Genomic DNA, 21,734 nt, shown 5'->3' with positions numbered 1-21,734 from the left:
CTGAGATCACCTGAGACTGGAGGACATTTCGGTGCATAGAAGGCTGGGGTCAGTGCTGCACAGGACAGACACATCTGAGGGAGTGGACTCAGCCTGGGAGTGAAACTCTATTCTACGGGGGAAACATTCTGGGTAGCCATTAAAACTGGTACTGTCTTACTTTCCTCTTGGGTCCTGCTGAAAACTCTCTGTGTGACCATGTGCAAGCCATTCCTCTCTTCACCCTCAGTTTTCTCATCCATAAAATCAGTTGGTTGGTGGCAGCAGTTCTCAAACTTTTTTTTTTTTTGAGATAGGGCTGCACTCTGTCGCCCAGGCTGGAATGCGGTGGCGTAATCTCGCTCACTGCAACTTCCCTGGCTCAAGCAATCCTCCCACCTACTTTAGTCCCAAGTAGCTGGGACTAAAGGCGTGCACCACCAAGCCCAGCTAGTTTTTTCTTTTTTCTTTTTTTTTGGTAGAGATGGGGTTTCGCCATGCTGCCCACTTAGTCTCAAACTCCTGAGCTCAAGCAATCCACCCGCCTTGGCCTCCCAAAGTGCTGGGATTACGGGTGTGAGCCACTACGCCCGGCCTCTGTGTATCAGAATCTCCTGCAGGGCCTGATGAAACACAGACTGGGGGGCCCCACCCCCAGATATTCTGATTCAATAGCCTGGGAATTTGCATTTCTAACAAGTTCCTGGGTGCTGCTGCTGCTGCTGCTGCTGCTGCTGGTCCAGGGTTACACTTTAGGGACCACTGTCTAGATGGTGTCTAAACTCTCTAGGAGACTGGACAATTTTTGTTTTTATAATGCCCATATGGCATTGTGGGAAGCAGGATCGGTGGGGTTTATGAGAGGATCTTGGGCTCTGAAAGGCATAGTAGTATCAGCCTTAACTTACAACATCTAAATGTCTATGTCCCAGGGCCAGATGCTTGGAAAGTCCCCCAGCTCCACTTTGCGTCTTCACTTCCCTTCAAGTCACCTACTGCTCAGTAGCAAATAGTGCACAGGGTGACTTATACCTTTTCCATTCTACAGCATATCTGGCTATGTGTTCATATTCCTGACAATCATTTTGATGAGGAAGAAGTTCAAGACTAAAGGTAGGGCAATCAATCCATTACAGTGTGCCTGATAATGTCCTGGTCCTAAAATAGAAAACCTTACATCTTGGGGACTCCCTCAGTCCTGGGCAAATGAGAACAGTTGGTCACCCTAATTAATGCCAAAAATGATGTCTGGGAATTTTCTGTGGTTTTCTTTCATCTTATGCCCACAAAACCTGGAATAAACGTAGATAAACTCATTTTTTTTTTCTGGTAAGAAAGTAGGTAAGAAAGCTAAAGCTATTTGAACACCCTAATATCATATCCTTATTTGCAAATTAAGTTTTAAAGTCAACACCTAAAGCAAAAACTGATTACAGCAAACATTGCTCTTGACAGTCGTTTAAATTATCCACAGAGGGCTAGGTGTGTTGACTCATGCCTGTAATCCTAGCACTTTGGGAGGCCGAGGAGGCAGATTACTTGAGGTCAGGAGTTTGAGACGAGCCTGGTCAACATGGTGAAACCCCATCTATACTAAAAATACAAAAATTAGCCAGATGTGGTGGTTCACGGTTGTAATCCCAGCTACTCTGGAGGCTGAGGCAGGAGAATCACTTAAACCTGGGAGGCAGAGGTTGCAGTGAGCCAAGATTGCACCACGGCACTCCAGCCTGGGTGACAGAGTAAGTGAGACTCTGTTTCAAAAAAAAAAAAAAATTACCCACAGAGTCCAGTACGCATGCAACCCAATGTACTAATTCTTGCGTACATTAAAATTTGAGAGCTACTTAGCTAAACTAAAAGATGACAAAAGGAAAATCTCTGTATACATGCTTGGGTATTTTAACCAATTAGATCCCAGGCGGGTTAGTGGTGAGGAATGGAGAATGCTTAGGTGTTTCAGCTTATCGACTGGTTTCACTTCGTTTTGTGAGGTTAGTCAAACCTTAATAATTTTAATATGCGTTAACACATTTGTTTGCTGTTGTGAGTCTGAAGTGAAGCTGTCTCACTTGAGAGAGGCGTGGGGTTGAGTTTTAGTCTAGCAGGTGGTCTAACTGTGCACATATTATAACTGGACTACACCTTGATCTTCTCATTGTAGGAAAGACATGCTCCCCCAGCTTCAAAGGTCGCCTCTAGAAAATAGGTCAGTTTGTCTGCCAGGGTCTTATGGCAAGAAGAGATTAGACAAGGATAAGCTGCTTCTTAAAGTAATTCATGCTGCTTTCTGGGCAGCATTATTACAAGAACACCTTGCTCTGGAGGTTATATAAAATAGCCAAGCAGCAAAACTCTGTCTGCTAAGGTATTAAGGAAACATATTGGCCAAACTTCCCTTTGAAATAAAATGTCTCTATTCTGGTCATTTCAAGTCAAAACATGGCAACTGCGAAACCAAACAGGACATGGGTTAAAGAAGTCAGGCTGTAGGCAAATAATGGTTTTTAAGAAAGGAAAATGGTATAATACCTATAACCAGTCACTGCATAGGGCCTGTGATAGCCTAATATTAAATTTTAGAGCAAGTGGACTAATTTGTTTTTAGCCTAACCATATCTTTTTTCACTTTTCCTTTTATAGTTAAATCCTGGTACCTCTCACTAGACATATGGTGCCTGGAATACTGCAAAGTGCACAGCACCAGGCCCCGGCCCTCCCACACTTGGTCTTTCCCTCATCCAGTCCAAAGGGAGACTTGGGGAGGCTCATTCCCTCCTTGCCTGTTTAATAAACATTTCCCTGTGATGTCAGCTCTTGCAAATGGCTTCCTGTGTTATCCTTTGCAATAAGCATATTTACCCTTTTTTTCTTTTTTTTTTTTTTTGAAATGGAGTCTCATTCTGTCGCCCAGGCTGGAGTGCAGTGGCACGATCTCAGCTCACTGCAGCCTCTGCCTCCCGTGTTCAAGTGATTCTCCTGCCTCAGCCTCCTGAGTAGCTGAGATTACAGGTGCCTGCCATCATGCCCGGCTAGTTTTTGTATCTTTAGTAGGAGGGGGTTTCACCATGTTGGCCAGGCTTATCTTGAACTCCTGACCTCAGGTGATCCACCCACCTCGGCCTCCGAAAGTGCTGGGAATACAGGTATGAACCACTGTGCCCTGCCATATTTACATTTTAATACAGGTCTTCAAAGACATTAAAAACTTAAGTAGCTACTATAATGGTGAGATTCTTGAGTGCCTAGAAGAGAGGAAATTAGGGCAGACAGTTTTTTTTCCCTCCATCCCTCAGACCACATAGGCTGGGACTATGATTGGGGAATTTTGTTGCTTTAAAAATCCTGGTAAGCAGTTTAACAGCTTTTAAAGTTTCTGAACTCATAGGTAAGGCTGATTGTGAAGAATTATGAGGAAGCATTTCATATTAGTTTATATGGTATTGAAACAAATGATACCTAATTATTGCCATTCACTTTTGTCAAGGATGACTTGTGCCCAGCTTTCCCTCTACTAAAAGGAGGCCAATGCAGTGGTTCTCAAAATGTGGTCCCTGGACCAGCATCAGCTGGGAACTTGTTAGAAATGCAAATTCTTGAGCCTCCAGCTCAGATCTATTGAATCAGAAACTCAGGAGGTAGGGTCCAGCGATGAGTTTTAACAAGGCTTCCAGGTAATTCTGATGCATGAGAAAGTGGGAGAAACACTGAGTTAATGGGCAATTAGGTGGTCAAATGTGGCGTAAAGGACAGGGCTGCAAAAGTGTGTGTGGGGTGTGTGTGTGTTAGCACATCAGGGACAGGCAGGGGAGCACTTTGACTATTCCCAAGCACAGTGTGAGGGCATGAGGAAATCCTTCTGTTCTTATCCTGGGATGAACCTCACATTGCTCTCTTCAGTACCTTTTTGCTGGCTGGCCTTGGGGCTGCAGGTGAACTTGGAGCATCACTACTGCCAGAGCAATAGTAAGACATTCGGCTGCAGTTGCGATCGGCGATCTAAAATACACAAACCATGGCTTAACAGTCAACCAACCATGGAAAGGTAAGCCAGACATCTGGAAATCACAACCTCAGAATTCATTTTTTTATACATATTTTTTTTCCTGGTTACAAAGGTAAAACAATTGCCATAAGTAAATATAAAACAAAGCAAAGACAGTGAAGTTATACCTAATTTTACTTGCTCTTGAGACAACACCCGTTAATAGTTTGTGTGTAGCAACCTACAGTTAAAAACTATTTAAGAATCTGGGCTGCTGAGTAGTCCCTTCTAGGAGTCTGTGACTTCAGGGGACGCCAGGAAAAAATGTGTGGGAACAGTGTCTCTCTGTGGTTTAGTACGGTACTGCACCACGCTGTCTCCTAAACACCAATACATTGTCAAAAACTACCTCTGAAGGGAAGTGGAGTGCTCATGCTCTATCAGACATTTTCTCCCCATGCAACAAAATAATTCGAAAATTGCTAACCCTGTCCACATAAAAATTTAATATTTTCATTTTATTAAAGAAAAATAGAAAGATCAAGGCTGTCAGTAATAGCTGCAGACCACTTCTTTCCTGGGTGATCAGAAAGTGGTATTACTGAAAGGGGCTTTCAATATGAGGCTGAGTTGTGTTGTGCTGGCAAATGTTTAACAACCAGTTGTCAGGGGGGTAGGGGTAATTTGTAGCATTTGCCAATTTTTGTGCCACAAATACTTTCATCATAACTGATTTCAATCTACCAACACGATGTCATAGAAATGCAGTGTGGTAGCAAACCATTATATAATATTTCCATCACACAGACACAGTAAACGTAAAGAAGGAAGAACTTAGATATTGTAGCATATAGTGAAATTATTAGGAAGGGACTAGGTTTACCTTTTTAAAGTGAACTTTTAATTTTGAAGTATAAGTTGTATAGTTATTATTAGATTTACAGAGAAGTTACAAAGGTAGTATTTCTTATATGACTTTCATTGCATTTCTCTTAATATCTTTTATAGTAAGGTACATTTGTCAAAACTAAGAAACTAACATTGATATGTTACTATTAACTAAACACGAACGACTCGGATTTCACCAGTTTTTGCACTCATGTCCTATTTCTGTTCCAGGATACAATCTAGCATACCACATTGCATTCAGATTACCTTTGTTTTTAATATAACTTATTTAATTTTAAGTTTATACGATTTAATTTTAACAATGTCTGTTTCAAAACTGGCTCAAAAAATTCTGGAAAACTAAGCAATCAGCTTTTGGGAACAGGTATGAGCTCACTCCAGCACATCCCTGAACTGATTTTTGTAAGTCAAAAAGGATAGAATACGAATAATTCCTGATGGCTCAAACTACAGATCATCAGCATCTCAGGGGGTGAATCCAGTGGTTTTTTCATTTATTTTTTATTTATTTTTATTTTTTTAGACGTAGTCTCGCTCTGCTGCCCAGGCTGGAGTGCGGTGGCACGATCTTGGCTTACTGCAAGCTCCGCCTCCCGGGTTCACGCCATTCTCCTGCCTCAGCCTCCTGAGTAGCTGGGATTACAGGCGCCCGCCACCACGCCCGGCTAATTTTTTGTATTTTTAGTAGAGACGGGGTTTCACCGTGTTAGCCAGGATGGTCTCGATCTCCTGACCTCGTGATCTGCCCGCCTCAGCCTCCGAAAGTGCTGGGATTACTGGCATGAGCCACGGTGCCCGGCCAAATCCAGTGTTTTTAAAAGACCCAGGGTAGATGGTTCTTAAGTTCATTCAGGGACCAGGACCTCTGCAGAGATGAGGACATGAGGCCCAGCACAGTTACATGACTTTCCCATGGCCACACAGCGGGGCAGTATTGGCGCCCAGCCCCAAACCCTGGCCTGCAGATTTCCTTCCTCACACCACACAGTGTCAAGTGGCTGGAATTTGTAAGGGTGAAACTGTGTCTGTGTCTAAACCTAGAGATTTTGATTTCTCTTTATCAGGGGAAATGATATTACTCTAATAGCTCGGCCACCCTGAGGCCACAGATCATTGGAGAAAAAATTCAGGCTAAGAATTCATCGTGGTAGCTTTGTGAGTAGATTAAAGACTGTTGGATCGTATACTCCATCTTTTAAAAAAGGGTGAATTTTATGGTATGTGAATAATATCATAATCTTTAAAAAATTCCTAATGAGAGACAATCTACAAAATACTTGACCATTACTCCTCAAAACTGTCAAGGTCATGAAGAACAAAGAAAGTCTAAGAAATTGTTTCCAGCAAGAGGAGCCTATGGAGGCAAGACTGCAAAATGTAATATGGCATTCAGAATGGGATCCTGGGACAGAAAAAGGACATTAGAGAAAAACTGAGAAGGTGTGAATAAAGATGAACTTAATGAATAATATTCCATGAATATTGGTTCACTAATTGTGCCAAAAGTACCATTTGAATGTAAAATGTTAATAAAGGAGAGACTGGGTATAGAGTATATAATTCCGTAACTCTAAAACTGTTCTGAAAGTAAAGCTTTACCATGAAAAAAATAAAGAATTCATAGAGGGAAAAACAACATAGGGCAAGCCATCAACCCTCTCAGGATGTCAGTTTTTATATGCTTGTAAAATTTGGCATTGCTCCTTGGGATTTTTTTTTTTTTTTTTTTTTTTTTGAGACGGAGTCTCACTCTTGTAGCTCAAGCTGGAGTGCAGTGGTGCAATCTCGGCTCACTGCAACCTCCACCTCCCGTGTTCACGTGATTCTCCTGCCTCAGCCTCCTGAGTAGCTAGAATTACAGGGACCCGCCACCATGCCCAACTAATGTTTTGTATCTTTTTTTGAGACAGAGTTTTGCTCTTGTTGCCCAGGCTAGAGTGAAATGGCACAATCTTGGCTCACTGCAACCTCTGCCTCCTGGGTTGAAGCGATTCTCCTGCCTCAGCTTCCTGAATAGCTGGGATTACAGGCATGTGCCACCACGCCTGGCTAATTTTGTATTTTTAGTAGAGACGGGGTTTCACCATGTCAGCCAGGCTGGTCTCGAACTCCTGACCTTGTGATCCACCCACCTCGGCCTCCCAAAGTGCTGAGATTACAGGTGTGAGCCACCGTGCTTGGCCAATGTTTTTATTTTTAGTAGAGACAGGGTTTCACCATGTTGGCCAGGCTGGTCTTGAACTCTTGGCCTCAAGTAATCCGCCCGCCTCGGCCTCCCAAAGTGCTAGGATTACAGGCATGAGCCACCATGCCCGGCTGTTCCTTTGGACTTTTTTGTGAGATAATCAATCTGTGGATGTTAATGAACGTAAGAGGTAGGTATTAAAGAAACAAAACTAAATTAAAGGCAACCTTTCCAGGTATCAAAAGTTAAAGCTATTTTTTTTCCTTGAAAATAAAATGCATGGTTTAGCCACATGACTCCATGTGGCTAAACCCCTGATGCTTTAAAACTTTGCTACCCAAGCTAAGTAGTTCTCAGCAAATCCTCAGATGCTGGTCTTGCTGCTGCATCTGTCAGAATGGTCTTAATCTGTTCTAAAGAACGTTAATCACTCCAAAGCTGAGCATTAAAGCATCCGACCAGCATGGTGGGCAGCAGTAGTGGTTGCTTCTGTGTTACTTCTCCAAGTTTTAGTTAAAAAATAAAAAAGCCTGTGTCCCCTTCCACGGTTTGACATCTTTCCTACCTTTGAAGACATGATGTTCTTCACTTCCTCGTCTGCTGCGGAGTGTGTCCCCGCGAGGTCTGGGTTACTGCTGCTCATCACCCGGGCCTGCAGCAGCTTTGAACTCACAGCAGCAGCTGATGTGCGGCCATACGTGTGGTAGCTCCGAGGGTCTAGGAGGGCAGTGGGAGCGCCTGCACCCCACCAGGCAGAGACATGTCAACAGACAGGGGAACAGAGTTACTTACTGAGTTTAAGAAGGAATTGAAGAGGGATAGGGTGGATGAAAAGCCACCGGATTAGGCCTTGGAATTAGAGACTTCTTAACAAATCCTGGTTGGGGTAGGAGGCAATCTTTTGGAGAGAAGTAGATGGGGCATAAGGCACCAGGGAGTGGTGGAGATCATGGTAAACAGCCAACACATGCCTCTTACAAAGGCAGGGGGTACTACTGGCTCCAGTCTATTACTGCCATCGGGAAATGGACCCCAGGGTTGCTAGAGCTTCTGATTTCTCATGAGAAGCTAAAAATGTGGATATTTTTAATTTGTCAATATTTAAATGACAACTTTACAATTCATGCAGTGAGGTTTTCTCAGATTCAAAAATCCATAGAGTCATCTGAACCTTGTGAGGATTACGGTATATGATGTATACAGCACTGTTTTTCATCTTTAAATGTTGACATGTTTTCACAAGCGGTTATGGAAATCTATGAGATATTACTATTTAATTTTTTTTTTTTTTAAGACAGGGTCTCACTTTGTCCTCCAGGCTGGAGTGCAGTGGCATGATCTCAGCTCACTGCAACCTCCGCCTCCCAGGTTCAAGCAATCCTCTTGCCTCAGCTTCCCGAGTAGCTGGGACTACAGGCACCCGCCACCACGACTGGCTAATTTTTGTAATTTTTATAGAAATGGGCTTTTGTCACGTTGCCTAGGCTGGTCTTGAACTCCTGAGCTCAAGTGATCTGCTCACCTTGGCCTCCCAAAGTGCTAGGATTGATTACAGGCATGAACCACCGCACCCAGCCACATCACTAGTATTTTTAAAAACTCAATCAAATTTTCAGATTTACTAGAAATGAGGCTGCACAGACCAACAAAAGTGTCATGTTTATTTGGGCCTGCAATTTTGTGAACTCACTGACACTAATTTTTATATCATGCTGACAAGAAGTTCTACTTGATTATTACTTATGTAAATAATTAAGAAGAGTTGGGGAAATGCATTACTATTATTTCAATAGTTCAGTTTGAGGGAAATGTGAAAAGGGATTTTTTTTAATAACAAAAAGTTTAAGAACCACTGCCATTGGATATATATTATTTCCTTTATTATACTAGAATCGTAGGCATCAGTCACCACTTCTCCATCTTAAAAAAGAGATTCTCAGCTGAATCATAAATTAGCAAGTGGGTAAAGACCAGTGAGGGATTATCAAATGGGCAGACAAAATAAGTGTTTAGAGCATAAAAAGAGGCAAGGAGGGAGGAAGAAAGATCTATAAAGAAACACATAATTTCAGCATTCATGTAAGTTTTGTATTGTCCTGAAAACGAAAATGGAATTTTAGGGTGTTTGTTTGTTTGTTTGTTTGTTTTAAGAGATGGGATCTCGCTCTGTTTCCCAGGCTGGAGTGCAGTGGTGCAATCATAGCTCACTGCAGCCTCCAACTCCTGGGCTTAAATGATCCTCCTGCCTCAGCTTCTTCCTGAGTAGCTGGGACTAAAGGTATGTGCCACCATGCTCTGCTAATTTTTATATTTTTTGTAGAGACAGAGTCTCATTATGTTCCCTGGGCTGGTCTCCAACTTCTGGCTCCAAGCGATCCTGCCATCTCAGCCTCCTAGAGTGCTGGGGTTGCAGATGTGAGCCACTGCTCCAAGCGATCCTGCCATCTCAGCCTCCTAGAGTGCTGGGGTTGCAGATGTGAGCCACTGCTCCAAGCGATCCTGCCATCTCAGCCTCCTAGAGTGCTGGGGTTGCAGATGTGAGCCACTGCTCCAAGCGATCCTGCCATCTCAGCCTCCTAGAGTGCTGGGGTTGCAGATGTGAGCCACTGCTCCAAGCGATCCTGCCATCTCAGCCTCCTAGAGTGCTGGGGTTGCAGATGTGAGCCACTGCTCCAAGCGATCCTGCCATCTCAGCCTCCTAGAGTGCTGGGGTTGCAGATGTGAGCCACTGCTCCAAGTGATCCTGCCATCTCAGCCTCCTAGAGTGCTGGGGTTGCAGATGTGAGCCACTGCTCCAAGCGATCCTGCCATCTCAGCCTCCTAGAGTGCTGGGGTTGCAGATGTGAGCCACTGCTCCAAGCGATCCTGCCATCTCAGCCTCCTAGAGTGCTGGGGTTGCAGATGTGAGCCACTGCTCCAAGCGATCCTGCCATCTCAGCCTCCTAGAGTGCTGGGGTTGCAGATGTGAGCCACTGCTCCAAGCGATCCTGCCATCTCAGCCTCCTAGAGTGCTGGGGTTGCAGATGTGAGCCACTGCTCCAAGCGATCCTGCCATCTCAGCCTCCTAGAGTGCTGGGGTTGCAGATGTGAGCCACTGCTCCAAGCGATCCTGCCATCTCAGCCTCCTAGAGTGCTGGGGTTGCAGATGTGAGCCACTGCTCCAAGCGATCCTGCCATCTCAGCCTCCTAGAGTGCTGGGGTTGCAGATGTGAGCCCCTGCACCCAGCATAGGATGTTTTATTTTGGATTACACTGCAGTGGGGTGGAGGTGGTGTTGCCCCGCCCACCAGAGTCCCACACTCAGGGCAACTCTACCTGACTTGGGCACATCCCTTTGCACCTCTGGCAGGCGGAAGACGTAGTGCACGTAGGAAGCCAGCAGGCAGTTCCTCCCATGCTGGTCCTTGCTCAGGTCCTTGCTGTTGTGCAGACTGTTGGCGATGGCCACCACGGACTCGAAGGCAAACTGGGAGAAGTTGGCTGAGGAACCAAGAGAAAAATGGGTAGTCCCACAGCTGGTCCTTAAGGAGCCTGAGGTGGAAGTTTCTCCAGGACAGTGACAATGAGTCCTGACCGCTGACCAATTTAACTAGGCCTGGGAAGGGTAGATGGTTTTGGTGAGCTCTGGCATGCTGGCTCTGAGTACCACAGATGCCTCCACATTCCCTCTTTTGAACTTCCTCCTCCTGCCACTGAATAGCATTGATGGTTTTTAATGACAAAGACATAAGACTGTCCAGACGTCCTCCTTCTCTAAGCCAGGTTGTAAACTGATGCTACTCAGTGGGGGCTGCGGACACACACGACCACTATCACCTGCTTGCTACTAAGAAATGCAGAATCTCAGGCCCCACCCCAGAGAGTGTATTAATCAGGTTCTGCATCTTTACAAGATGCTCACGTGACTGTTGTGGACACTATGATTTGAGATGTGCTGCACAACCCTGATTCTTGTACAGATTAACCTAAAAATGTCTGCATATCAAGTCATTCCCACAGTGGGCCCATACACATTTGATTTACTGCATAGAACCTCTTGTTCTGGTGCCCTAAGCCTCTATAGTTTGGCTCCAATATACTTATCTAACCTTGTACCCTTTTTGGCTCAGTTCGACATCCCTTAAAATGAGGCAGTCATTGTATTGTCCCATCATGCCTGCTCTCTTACCTCTGAGACTTTGCTCATGCTGTTGTCCTCGCCTAGGAAGCCCTCCTCACTCCCATCCACAAAATCATACCGACCCTGTGAATCTCAGCACAAGTCCCACCTCCTCCATGAAGCCGTCTGACTCCACACAGTACAGGGCTCAAGTGAAACTGAGTTACATGATTCTCCAGCCATGTCTGGTGGTAAACTGTCTGTCTGTGAAAGCTGGAATCCTTCCCATGCGAAGTGCATTTCTCACATCTTTTGTGCCCCCACTGTGCTTTCCATTGCAGAGACACAGAATAGGTTCTGAATAAATGCTTGTAGACTAGCCACCTCCACTTATTCTGCCTATGCCAACACCCTGTGGTCCTCACACCACAAGGTGGCAACTTGCTATGGAGAAGCTGCTCAAAACATATAAATATTTTTGTCTGGTGAACAAGTCTGTATTAACTAGCTGGAACATACAAAGCAGTGTGCCACATATGCGGGGGCACAGAAAGTAATCGAAGGAGGGCAGAGCTCTGCAAGAATCTAGCTGGAGAGGCAACTGCTACATGGATGAAAAGTTAGCCTCCAACACAGGACGTTTGATCTGTGGAACCACAGAAGATGCATATCAGGGTGCAAAGCAGAGTGAGAGATTAAGGGGACATGCCCCTCCCTGGCTCTAAAAGCCGTCTCACTTCATTGTCCCAGCCCACTTCCACACGTGCTTCTGTTCCACCACCAACTGTGCTACTGACTTTCTTCCTGACACTCCCACACTTTTCTGGTTCTCTGCAGTGCTGCACTCATCTCATTGCCCCTATTCTGTCGGTTTTCACTCTATCCCTTCTTCAAGGCCATCTCTTTATGTGGACCTCCTGCATCCTCCCAGATGGATGTTTTCTCACTCTCTCCTTTGATACCACCCTCCCCACAACCACTGCAAAATTTAGCTGTGTCCCTTTGAGGAGTCTTGTCCTGTGCTGCTGACTCTTTGCCATATTATAAGTCCTCTGAGGTCTGAGATGCTCTTGGTTATTGTCACAAAGCCTACAACTTTTAGTACAGTACTGGGCATATGGATGGTACCCAAAAGACGTCTGCTGGACTGGAAAGCAAAGAGCTATATAGGCACAGCTGAAAATGGTGGCAAATAAAGATGCCCTATACCAGCCAGTCTACCCTGGAAGAGTTAGGAGAACCACTGGACTCTGGTCATGCCTCCAGGATAAGCTTTTGAGATTATTTCTAAGGGAAAATGTACACATTGTATTTAGTGTTAACTTGTTAAAAGTAAGCATTTAAAATAGACTGTAAGAGAGAACGGATGAGTTCTAGGGGGAGGGATGAATAGGGAGTGATGGGGTTTTATTTGGAGGTGATGAAAATGTTATAAAACTAGATTGTAGCGATCATTGCACAACCTTGTGACTATACTAAAAACCAATGAACTATACACTTTAAAATAGTGAGTTTATGTTTTAACTTTAAAAATTGATTGCATTGCATTTCAATGTAGAGAGTTCCTTCCCTCCATTTAACACAGGTTGTCTTACCTTAAAATGTTCCATTTCCTGTTAGTCAAGAAAACAAAAATATCTTCAAGGTAAAATAAATTCATCAATTACCAGAAATGGAATTTTAAAGACTGCCTATAATCATTTAATAAAGTTTACAAAAAGCTATAATATTAAGAACCCTATTTTAATGTTTCTTTTTCTTTCCAACATGCAGAGAGTCTCAAAAAAAAAATAGCATAAGACTTGGCCTCCCTTGAGCACACATCATCAGTGGAAAGGAAGATCACATTGTCTCTGGATTTCTGGAAAGTCATTTTTCATTAAAGAAGGCAATGCTTGCTTGCTCCTGCCTCCTCCCAGCCCAGCCCTGCAGGTTCATACCTGTCTGGCCAGCGATGACCATGGGCTGCACGGACAGCTGGAAGAGCTTGTCCAGCACCAGGTGCAGGAAGAGCACGAGCGGCTCCAGGCGGGAGGAGTTCAGGCAGATGATGCTGAGCTTCAGCTCATGCTCCAGCGCCATCTCGCTGATTTTCTGATCCAGCACGCGGATGGGGAAGGTCACCTGGCTCTCCAGGGAGTGGCAGAGGGTGAAGAACTTCTCCAGGTGGTTGTCCTGCGAAGGGAGAAGGCAGGCCTCATGGGGTTTTATACCATCAATGTTCACCAGTGGATTCACAAACACAATCGAATAGCTCTTTATGGGTAGAACCTCTTATCCAGCGTTTCAGACCAGAAGGTCTAAGACATGATGTTTCAGACCGAGGCTATGAACTTCTTTGTAGAATGTGGTGCATGAAGTTGAACGTTTCAATAATTATTAGCTAAAGAAGAAATAATTTTGGCTCTGACATGTTCTGTAAGCAGAGGTCAGCGTACCAGGTAAGCATACTGCCAAGAGAGAGGTCTCAGCAGATGCAGAACTCAGACAGTGGCAGGTAAAGGAGAGAGTACGGAATTTCTTTTTAAAAGCTGGCAAAGTGGCAGAGTTACAGAGGGAAAAGAAGTAACAGCAGATGAGAGTTTCAAATCAAGTCCCCCTGCAAAGTTTCTCCACCAACAGTGCAGATACTAGGTTCTTTCCTTTAGGTGCTCGGCGGTTTTGTAAGGTCTTTCTATTCCAATGACAAATGAAACCTAAAGAGGTTTGCATGTCCCCACAAAGAACTAAAGGGTTATTTTTTATTTATCTGTAGACAAGGATTTTCACTGATCTTTTATTGGCCTGTCCTTCAAAGGCTCCTCCGCTGCACCTTTACCTTCATGATTAACCTTGACATTCCTTACCTGGGTGTGTACAGAAGAAACAGCTTGCACTTCAATATTAAATACTCCCTTATGTCCTTCAGCCCACTTAATGGGAGGATTCTGTAATGGGACTTTCTGTGTTAAAGAGAAAAAAAAAAGATTAGCAATCCAATTCCCTTTTCTGATTACTAACAAGCAATGCAGACCAACTTGACTGGAAATGTCAGGGTTATACAAATACAGAACTCTCTTGAAAACTAATCTAACTGTTCTTGGAGTCAGGAGCCCTGGATTCAACTTCAATTCTACACCAAACTAGTTAATATTTATGTATTTATTCATTCCTTTTGAGACAGGGTCCCACTCTGTCGCCAGGCTGAAGTGCAGTGGTGCAATCACGGTTCACTGCAGCCTCGACCTCCTGGGCTCAAATGATCCTCCCGTCTCAGTCTCTGGAGTAGCGGGGACTACAGGCACACACCACCACACCCAACTAATTTTTCTATTTTTTGTAGAAATGTGGTTTCACCATGTTGCCCAAGCTGGTCTCAAACTTCTGGGCTCAAGTGATCTGCCCACTTCAGCCTCCCAAAATGTTGGGATTACAGGTGTGAGCCACTGTGCCCCGCTTCAAACTAGTTATTTTTACTTAGACGACTCAACTAAACTTTCTGGGCCTTAGTGTTCTGTTCTCATGCTGTGAGAAGAGGGCTGAACGGTGTAATCTGTCTCTAAGTTCCAAACCAGCATTGATGATTCTGGATTCTAGGAATTAAAATAAATTAAGATCCCAGCAATTTCCCCATTAATCAGAATTGTCAGGACAAAGTATAGAATATCTTTACAAGACATGAAATTTTAATACTTTTGAGTACCCGATATTACTTTCCCTTTCACCACAGTTTTTCCAAGTGTTTCCCACATGTTTCTAGGCCAGGTCGGCTCCTGCTTTAATTACTCAAAGTGACTCTTTTATACGTTTATATATCATTACCTTCGTAGGTCTTACAGACAGTTTCTTGCCTTAAATTCCCATTGAAATTGCATTCCTTTAGAGATGTCCTGCAGTGTTGAGTGAGGGCCTCGCCTAGGTTTGTATGTCTTTCATCATAATGAAAGGTAGATGTGTACAGGGGATGGAGACCTTTAAAGCTATCTGAAGCAGTCAAAAGCTGGGGCCCAAAGTGGGCTCTAGCCTACACACACGTTCTGTTTGAAGTATTAGGAACTTTAAAAAATTAATTACCAATATTTGAAAGCCTGAAAATTTCCTATAAAAGACTGCTTTTCTAACTTCATTTGAGTACTGGAAGAAATGAAAAAATTGGCCTTATATCCCAGCATGTCACCAATCTGCAGAGTGAAGAGAACAGCTGTGACCTTCAGATGGGGAAGAGACAATCTCCAGAGTGAACAGATGCCACCAGAACAAGGCATTCATTTATGTTACTCATCTGGATCCTGTGGGCACTTGAGTTTGCCATCTGTGATCTAAAATAGCACTGTCCAGTGGAAATATAACGTGAGCTATATATGTAATTTAAAATCATCTAGTGGCCACATTAAAAAAGTAAAAAGGGGCCGGGCATGGTGGCTCACACCTATAATCCCAGGACTTTGGGAGTCCAAAGTGGGAGGATCACATGAGGCCAGGAGTTTGAGACCAGCCTGAGCAGCATAGCAAGACACTGTTTCTAATGAAAAAAAAAAAAAAAATTAGCTGGGCGTGGTGGTGCATGCCTATAGTCCCAGCTACTAAGGAGGCCGAGGTGAGACGACTGCTTGAGCCTATGAGTTCAAGATTACAGTGAGCTGTGATCACGCCACTGCACTCCAGCCTGAGTGACAGAGCAAGACCCTGTCTCTAAAAAAAAAAAAAAAAAAAAAAAAACACAAAAGGACCATGTGAAAGTAATATTTCATTTAACTCAATACAGCCTAAAGACTGTTTCAATATGTAATCAATGTAAAAAATTATTAATACAATATTTCACATTTTTCCCCATGAAGTTTTTGAAATCTGTTGCATATTTTACTTATAGCACATATCTCAGTTTGAACTAGCCATATTTTCCTCAATAGCCACATACAGCTAGTGGCTATCTTATCAGACAGTGCAGGTTTAAAGGATACTAAGAGAGGCTAAGGGTATATCTATAAACACAGCATAGCGCAAGTAAGAAAAAGGAATTAATGTTTACTTAGGAATTGAGTTTGTTGTTTGGCAAGCATTATCTCATTTAATGCTTACAGCAACCTTATAGGCAGATATGCAGATATGGGCTCAGTTTCATCTTCGAGACTCAGAGAGGGTAAGCAACTCACCAACATTCACACAGCTAGGGAGTGGCAGAATCTAGACTTTGGACACAGATTTGTCTCTCTCCAACACTCAGGTCTTTCCTATAGCTTAAAAAGATAATAGGGGGTTCTAAGAAATTAGAGTGTGCAACTTGATGATAAGAAGGTGGTTTTGAGGGATACTGAAAGGTGTTGATGTCCAAATCATAAAGACCAATCAGGGAAATGTCTGTGGACATACTCGGATTGCCCCTTAGATGGCTTTGATGAGAGAAGTTTTGGTTTACCAGACACATGCCTGTGGTCCAGGGCAAAAGTTGGTTCTCTCTTTAAGGAAAAAAGAAAATAAGAGGAAAACAGCCGGAAGTGAGACGGTAGATGGCGAAAGAACAGAGAAGAAAGTTGACTGGAACGGTTGAAATTAAATTCAAATTTCTGAGAAATTCTTCAACTTAAAATTGCAAGGAAAGCAAAAGAGATGGAGGATCTGTAGATTAAAAGCGTCTCCAGAGATGTAACAATCAATATCAGTGTGTGGACCTTATCTGAATACCAATTTTAAAAAGCAAGCGTCAAAAATATAGCATTAGTGGGATAATTAAAAATTTGATCAGTGACTGAATATTTGATGATACTAAGAAATTACAGTTAAAATTTTAAAGTATGACAATGGTATTGTGATGGTTAAAAACAAATCCCTTATCTTTTAAGATGCAGACTAAAATGAAATATGATGTCCGAGATTTACTTCAAAATAATACTTATTGATGTAAACCTATGCAAGGAACTGAGAAGTGGGCTAGCAGTGTGACAGCTGGTGCAGTCAGGGTGGACAGTCCCCTGGGCTCCCTTTATTTATTTTTTATTTATTTATTTTGAGATGGAGTCTCACTCTGTCACCCAGGCTGCAGTGCAGTGGTGTGATCTCAGCTCACTGCAACCTCCACTTCCCAGGTTAAAGCGATTCTCCTGCCTCAGCCTCCCGAGTAGCTGGGATTACAGGCACCCGCCACCACGCCCGGCTAATTTTTTTGTATTTTTAGTAGAGATGGAGTTTCACCATGTTGGCCAGGCTGGTCTTGAACTTCTCACCTCAAGTGATCTGCCTGCCTCGGCCTCCCAAAGTGCTGGGATTACAGGCACCCAACAGCAGGCCCAGCTAATTTTTGTATTTTTAGTAGAGATGGGGTTTTGCCACCTTGGCCAGGCTGGTCTTGAAATCCTGACCTCAGTTGATCCACCTGGGCTTCTCTTTAAATGGGTGCACTGCAGCAGAGTGGATGAGCAAGAGAAAGTGCCAGAAACAGGAAGTGGGAAAGGCTATTGGCATTGGGATTGGTAGGAGAATAAATACCTTGGTATCTACCGGAGGGCTGTGACAACTGACCCAAGAAAGAAACGGATGAATCTGGCCTGGGAATCTTTTATAAGGATCCTTGATGGGAACAGTTGTTTACTATGAATGGCCTTAGTTTGCCTCCTCTTCTATAATACATTATTCTGGGAATCCCTCTGTGGTAGATAATGCAAGGTTATGCTGCCTTGGGTGTAGGTTGCGTCTACTGAACATTCTGATTTGGTGGCATTTAAAAGAATGAGGTTTCACAGTCAGTTATTCCTCCCATCCTATCAGAACAATGTGCTCTCTGAGAACATGATGAACATCCATGGCCACATGGGAATGGAAAGTGAGTCTGGGAAGGTGGTCCAAGACTACAGCTGGACAAGAAACAGCTGATGGCCAGCTTGCCAATTACCTCAGCAGAATGCATGGAGTAGTTGGGTGGCAATTTTTCCAAGGCAACTGGGAGACAGTAGGATCCAGTTTGAAGACGTTCATTTAAGAGAATTGGCAGCCACTGAAACAGATGATGTAAATAATAAAGTGGTATTTATTACAGCATATAATTCTGATAATTTATCTAGCTCGCAATAATCAAATGCAACTAAACAGTGAGTAGATATTGACCAGTACTCTTTTTGGCAGTAATTTCTGTCCAGTTCTTTGCATTTTAAATCTCCGAGACCTCCTGAAATGGTAATATTGATGATTTATTGCTTTTGGAGCTAAAGCAGTAGCATTTTTCTCTGTAGCCAATGTTTGTGTGTGTCTGAACAACATCAATGTTTATTTCACCTTTTATATCTTTTAAAGAAAAAATGGTTTCTTCTTGGGGGACAAAGCTAGTTCTATACGTGAAGCATGGATATTAAATTTGGAAATAGTGAACACTGCAATGCTTTTTAAAAAACAGATGAGTATTCTTCCAACATCTATCACCCGCTAGCTTTCCATTCCTGAAATTTGACATTTGCTAAGGCAAATCATTTCTGCCTCTTGCTATAATGTGGCTTAGCATGTTTTGCTACTTCTGACTGGAAAAAATCAAGTGAATAGAATTTGGTTGTTTATCTCTGCAGGGACCTCAGATGCACCAACAACTGCAGTGTGAGTCAGCAGGCTGGAAACAACTCACTGAATATCCCAGGAGAGTTTCCACGGAGGCTCCTTGCTTCTGCTGACAGCTGATATGGTAGAAGGTGAACAGGAGGTGGTGATTTACTGTGAGCTTAGCGGGGAGCTTAATTTTCACTTCTTCATAAAAGTCAGGAGACCTGTTTCAAAAGCACATTATACACAAATAACTTTTAGCAAGAATGATGACTTCTCTGATTGTAAAACGCCACAGCCCCTTTGCTCCTCAGAATTTGCCTGGTGTTTTGCTTTTCATTTTACATTACTCTGCTCTGAAGCTGGAAGTCCCTGAGACCAAGCTTATGTTATTAGATGCACTTCCCTTACATAAAACTGTTCATGAACTAAAGGCTTTGTCAGGAAAAACAAAAAACAAAAAACAAAAAACAAAAAACAACTCCCCCACACAATGGAAAACTCCAACAACTTAATTTGAAGAAAGGATGAGGTTTGGACTCCTGCTGTGACCTCCTTTTTCCATTTCTACCCAAGGAACCAAGCCTAGCACCTAGCTGCACTCATCAAAGAGTAGAAGCAAATGAATGAGGCAGGAGGAAAAAGGAACCAATTTAACTGCATTATGAAGCCCTAGGTTCTTCATTAATTACGAAGTACATTACGTACATTGTAAAGTAATGTAGGTATGTAATGTACATTACCTCACTTAATCCTCATCCCAATCCCAGAATGTGCTTAAATGAAGGACTTAATTAGGCCCAGGTTATCAGGCCCGGATCAAACCCAATTCCGTCCAACACTGTGCAGGTGTCTCTCCCTTCCCTGTGGAACATGAATAATAGGGTGGGCATTATCCCATGACTCCATTTGCCGGTGGAATAATGAGTGTTCCATTTCTCCTTTGGTCAGCCTAGGCAGACAGTGGGGCAGGTGTCAAGTGGAGCGGACAGGGACACACAGGGCAAGGGGAGCCGGACTGTGCTTCTGGTCCCCTCCAGGGTCTCAAAGCAAGTTAGGAAATGTGTTTCCTTAATTAACGTAATACAACCTCTTTGCATCATACTAGAATAGAAGCTTCTGGAAAAGTCAAAACTATATTGGATTCTTGAAGACACGTTCTTCTCTCAGTCTTGGTTAATGGCAAAGTTATACATCTTCAACACAGAGTCACGGAACTGGCATGGATTTCCTTTGCCCCTCAGTCCCTGAATTATAAAAATAGTTAGGAGGAACCACCCACGGGACTTGGAAAAACCAGGAGATGATGAAACCATCTTGGCATATATTTAGAATGCTGAAATAGACTTACTTATTATGGTATGTAACAGCTGTGTACACTTCCTGCAGAAATTCAGGCCCGCTGGATTTTCCAAAGATGACCTGTTCACCAGTAGAGAAAGGATCAAATTATCAGTAACATTTGGGTACATCAAATTGACTATCATCAGGCCAACAGGATGTTCTGGTCTCATAGAGCTGCATTTTGTACAATTAAGAGTGCTGGGTTGGCCAGGAGCAGTGGCTCACACCTGTAATCTCAGCACTCTGGGAGGTCGGCGTGGGAGAATGGCTTGAGCCCAGGAGTTGGAGACCAGCCTGGGCAACATGGCGAAACCTCATCTCTACAAAAAAATACAAAAATTAGCCAGGCGTGGTGGCACATGCGTATAGTCCCTGCTACTCAGGGGGCGGAGGCAAGAGGATCGCTTGAGCCTAGGAAGCAGAGGTTGCAGTGAGTCGAGATTGCACCATTGCACCCCAGCCTGGGCAAGAGTGAGATCCTGTCTCAAAAAGAAAAAAAAAAGTGCTGGGACTACAACTGGCCCAAGCACACCAGTGCAAAGGAACTGGCTATGAAGGGTGAAATGAGGTTCCAAGGGGCTATATTAGTGACCAAAGGCCACATGTTTGTGAGATTAGAAAACCAGTACTCTCTCCACTCTGCCTCACTGCCTAGAGGTCTATCCAACAGGCCAAAGTTACATACTTTTGTCTTGAGTGAGAAATCCCCAGTTCCAGGTTCTTCTCTCTCAAACATACAGACCTACTCACTTAGGTGATTTGAATCTCCACTGCCTTATCCACATTTGTGCCATTTAGAAAAAGATACCTCCTTGGGCCTGAAGCAGCATTTAGGATGCATTATGAACAAGTGCACTCACCTTTGTGCAGAGAAAAAAAGCTCTTTCCTCTAGATGCAGTAATCCCAACACCAGAACCCATGGCTCAGTGAATGAAGAACAGACTGGACTTTAGCCCACAGTCACTCTTGGCTGGGCATCTTGGTTGCCACAGGATCTGCACAAGCATATCTGGCACTCCTGGCAGTGGCATGCCAGGGGCCTGAGCAGAGAGGACTAAGAGGACCCCACCGCTGTCTTAAGACACCTTGCATTGGGAAGACAGGTGGGACGTTAGGAGAAAGGTTTTTTTTTTTCTTTTTTTCTTTGGGTGGGACATTAAGAGAAAGGATTTTTTTCTTTTTCTTTTTAGAAAGGTATATTAACTGCGTGCAGTGGCTCACGCCTTTAGTCCCAGCACTTTAGGAGGCCAAGGCGGGTGGATCAGCTGAGGTCAGGAGTTTGAGACCACCCTGGCCAACATGGTGAAACCCCATCTCTACTAAAAATACAAAATTAGCTGGGCGTGGTGGCACGCGCCTGTAATCCCAGCTACTTGGAAGGCTGAGGCAGGAGAATCACTTGAACTTGGGAGGTGGAGGTTGCGGCCATTGTACTCCAGCCTGGGCAAAAAGAGTGAAACTCTGTCTCAAAAAAAAAAAAAAAAAAGAAAAAAAGAAAGAAAGTTATATTAACTGAATTCTATGACTTATGGGAAATAGTAATAGCTAACCACCATCTCATTTAGTAGGAGATGGTTTAAAAAGTATAAATTCTGGCATTTTGAGTTCCTTGGAGCACACTGCATTTTATATATATATATATATATGAATAATTTGATTTATATTTTGCCTCAGAACAAAGATCCACTCCTAGAAGGTGTGGAGGTGGTGTGTGTTTATAATTACTAGGCGG

General features: G+C 43.5%; 1 protein-coding gene across 17 annotated transcripts in view; it reads right to left on the bottom strand.

The window, feature by feature from the left end:
* The window catches only part of DOCK8 (dedicator of cytokinesis 8), a 253,999-nt gene that overhangs the window by 74,947 nt on the left and 157,318 nt on the right, over nt 1-21,734 (bottom strand). For 12 of the 17 annotated variants that reach the window (XM_017015173.2, XM_047423927.1, XM_047423932.1 and 9 more), the window contains 8 exons: nt 20,009-20,079; nt 18,743-18,881; nt 18,023-18,124; nt 14,004-14,099; nt 13,098-13,332; nt 10,374-10,538; nt 7,624-7,796; nt 3,883-3,978 (listed from right to left, as the gene is read on the bottom strand). In XM_017015173.2, the coding sequence (XP_016870662.1) occupies nt 3,883-3,978; nt 7,624-7,796; nt 10,374-10,538; nt 13,098-13,332; nt 14,004-14,099; nt 18,023-18,124; nt 18,743-18,881; nt 20,009-20,079 (1,077 nt within the window). The remainder of the gene's footprint in view (nt 1-3,882; nt 3,979-7,623; nt 7,797-10,373; nt 10,539-13,097; nt 13,333-14,003; nt 14,100-18,022; nt 18,125-18,742; nt 18,882-20,008; nt 20,080-21,734) is intronic. The other 5 variants (XM_011518045.4, XM_047423930.1, XM_047423936.1 and 2 more) reach the window with 1 other exon arrangement.

Source organism: Homo sapiens, chromosome 9 (genome assembly GCF_000001405.40).
Source record: "Homo sapiens chromosome 9, GRCh38.p14 Primary Assembly".
Taxonomy (NCBI): Eukaryota; Metazoa; Chordata; class Mammalia; order Primates; family Hominidae; genus Homo; species Homo sapiens.
The sequence above is the reverse complement of the archived record's forward strand: the minus strand, read 5'-3'. Positions and strand labels throughout refer to the sequence as shown.